This window comes from Homo sapiens, chromosome 10 (assembly GCF_000001405.40).
Source record: "Homo sapiens chromosome 10, GRCh38.p14 Primary Assembly".
NCBI lineage: Eukaryota > Metazoa > Chordata > Mammalia > Primates > Hominidae > Homo > Homo sapiens.
The window spans coordinates 118527394-118530364 of record NC_000010.11 but is presented as its reverse complement, the minus strand read 5'-3'; the positions used below and the strand labels follow the sequence as shown (position 1 = coordinate 118530364).

The 2971-nt window shown below is 45.4% G+C and overlaps 1 annotated feature.

The window, feature by feature from the left end:
- Positions 412-610: a silencer, noted in NCBI's record as "fragment chr10:120289267-120289465 (GRCh37/hg19 assembly coordinates)". NCBI's record gives its function as "represses an EF-1alpha promoter that drives an FKBP-Casp9 reporter gene in an ReSE screen in HepG2 liver carcinoma cells {active_cell/tissue: HepG2}" and the evidence as "EXISTENCE:reporter gene assay evidence [ECO:0000049][PMID:32094911]".

The following is a 2971-nucleotide window of genomic DNA, read 5'->3' as shown; positions in this document are numbered from 1 at the left end:
AACTTATACTAGTTTTTTTAACGCAGCAGAGCACCAAAATGCTCAAAATATGACTGCCCAGATAACCCTGAAGACTTTTGCAAGAAATAAAAGTTACATATGAAATGACTGGAAAGTACTGAAAGATGTGGTTTTAAACACCTTACATATACATCCTGAAACCCAAATTTAGAGTTGTGGCAAAAACTCAAAAGTTGTTTCAATTTTTTTTTTTTTTTTTTTTGAGACAGAGTCTCATTCTGTCACCCAGGCTGGAGTACAGTGGCACGATCTCGGCTCACTGCAATCTCTGCCTCCTGGGTTCAAGCAATTCTCCTACCTCAGCCTCCCAAGTAGCTGGGATTACAGGTGTGTGCCACCACACCCAGCTAATTTTTGTATTTTTAGTAGAGATGTGGTTTCGCCATGTTGGCCAGGCTGGTCTCGAACTCCTGACCTCAGGTGATCTGCTCACCTTGGCCTCCCAAAGTGCTGGGATTACAGGCGTGAGCCACCTCACATAGCCAGTTGTTTCAATTTTTAAAACTCCAGTGTATACTGATTTCCCAGGGCTGCCATAACAAAGCACAAGCCAGGTGGCTCAAGACAGTAGAAATTTACTCTGTCACCGTTCTGGAGGCCGGAAGTCAAAAATCAAGATGTTGGCAGGGCCATGCATCCCTCGGCCTCTGTGGTTGCTGGAAATCCTTGGTGCTTCTTGGCTTGCAGTTGCATCACTCCAGTCTCCACCTCCATCATTACATGGTGGTGTTATCCCCGTGTCTCTTATTGTCAGGACACTATACAAGTCGTATTGGAAGAACGGTCCCCTCTTCTCCAGTATGACCTCATCTTAACTTACATGTTAATTACATCTGCAAAGACTCCATTTCCAAATAAGTTCACATCCAAAGCTACCAGGGGTTAGGACTCCAATATATTTTTTGATAAGGGACACAATTCAAATCATGACACCTAGTTAAGACTCATTTTTCTCCCAAGGTTCATTAGAATTGCTTAACATTTTATTGTTTTAGAATAGCTGGCTGAAGCAAGACAACCCAAGGTATTTCCCTGTGGTTATTTCCCCTACTTGTCCAGGTATGTGCAATAATCAAATTTTGGGGGATCTTTAAAAGCACTCTCCCCAGCCATGGCCTTCCCATCTTCTGAATGAAACCCAAGAAGAAAGAGCTTGGGAATGAAGACTGCAAACAGCGTTCTTCGCTACATGGGGACAGATGGCAGTGCCTCAATTGTGATCTTTCTTGCAAAGTCCTATTTGGTTCAATGCACTTGCACTTGCTGCTACTTCCTGGATGAGGAAGCTCCTGTAGTTTTCATCAGGGAAAAAGTGTGCCACGGTACTGGTAGAACATTTTCCCATATGAATCTGGCTTGCAGAGAGCAGAGAGACTATTGGTTTGAACTATGAAATATATCTTGAAACCATCCACTTCTTTCCATTTCACTGGCCCAAACCCCCATCACCTAGCTTCTTCACACAGCAGCCAGATAGATCTCTTCACAGCCTCGATCAAATCATGTCACTTTCTGGTTTAAATGCTCTATGATTGTCCCTTCCTCCCTTGGCCTTTAGAATGAAATCCATAAGGCATGGGCTACATGCCTCTTTTCTATGGGGGCACAGACATCTTGGAATTGAGTCAGTACTCTTGGCCTGGCTTGGATTATATGCCCGTTCCTAAGTCCGTCTCCATAGCCAGGGTGAAAAGCGCTCTCATCAGCCAGATTCCTAGAGTAGAGAAAGGGGTCACCCCACCTAGACCATGTGCACTGACACGAGGGAGTGTTGGAACTTTGAGGACAATCAGTGAGTCATTACTAGAAGACAGGATGCCTAGCAGGCTATTAAGATAGGTGTCTGGCCGGGGTGGGGGCCAGCACTTTGGAAGGCCAAGGTGCGAGAATAGCTTGAGGCCAGGAGTTTGAGATCAGCCCGGGCAACATAGTGAGATCCTGGCTCTACAAAATAAAAATTACACGTGCATATTACATATTACCAAGTTTAAAAAACTTAGCTGGGCATGTTGGCATATGCCTGTAGTTCCAGCTTCTTGGGAAGCTGAGGCAGGAGGGTTGCTTGAGCCCAGGAATTCGAGGGTCTAGTGAGCTATGATCACATCACTGTACCCCAGCCTGGAAAACAGAGCAAGACCCTGTCTCTAAAAACCCACTAGCCGAACAAAAATAAGTGTTCACTCCCACGACAAAGGACCATGATGTGTTGCATCTGCGACTGTAACATTCTCTGGCAGCAATCTGGTAGGACTGGAATGAATGTAGAAGCCACATGTTTATGAGATGGTGGCCGGACATAAAAGTTGGAAATTTGAGGGAAATTTTTATTTAGGAGTAAACCACAAGGAAGACTGGGAATAAGGAGGAGAAGAAAATGCCATTCAAGACCCAGGGAAGTGATGTAATCCCAATTTCCTGGAGATTTTGCAGTCAGAGTTCCAGAAAGGTCAATCATCTCTTGCTGTCCATCACTTGTAGGCCCACTCAGAGGGGATGCCAGGGCTGCAGTGCAGAATCCAGGTGGGTAGGAACTTCCTGACTTTCTTTACACTTGGCTCATTGTATTCATTTTTTTCGTGGCGGTGTGAGAGGGTCAGACTATTTTTTGGGTGGGAGAAAGGACTTGGGCACTCAGGAGGGTGACTGCCAACCTGACAGGACCTGAGGCGCATCGGTCTGACTGTGCCTCAGAGGGTGCTGCAGTGGCCCGCAGGGCCTCACCGCATGAAGGGACAGAGCTGCCATCCTGGTTGACTAGGATGCTTTATTGATGCAGCAGCTCATTCAAGGCCCTGTGTTTTCCTTCTGTGGCTCTGATTTTCAGCTCCAGATCTTTTCATCGTTATCAAAGTTTACACTCACAGAGTCAAAGGCTGAGTAAATATTTTGCTACACAAATTTGTATTGTATTGAAACTGAATACGCCTCTGACAATGCTTTTGAGTAAGCA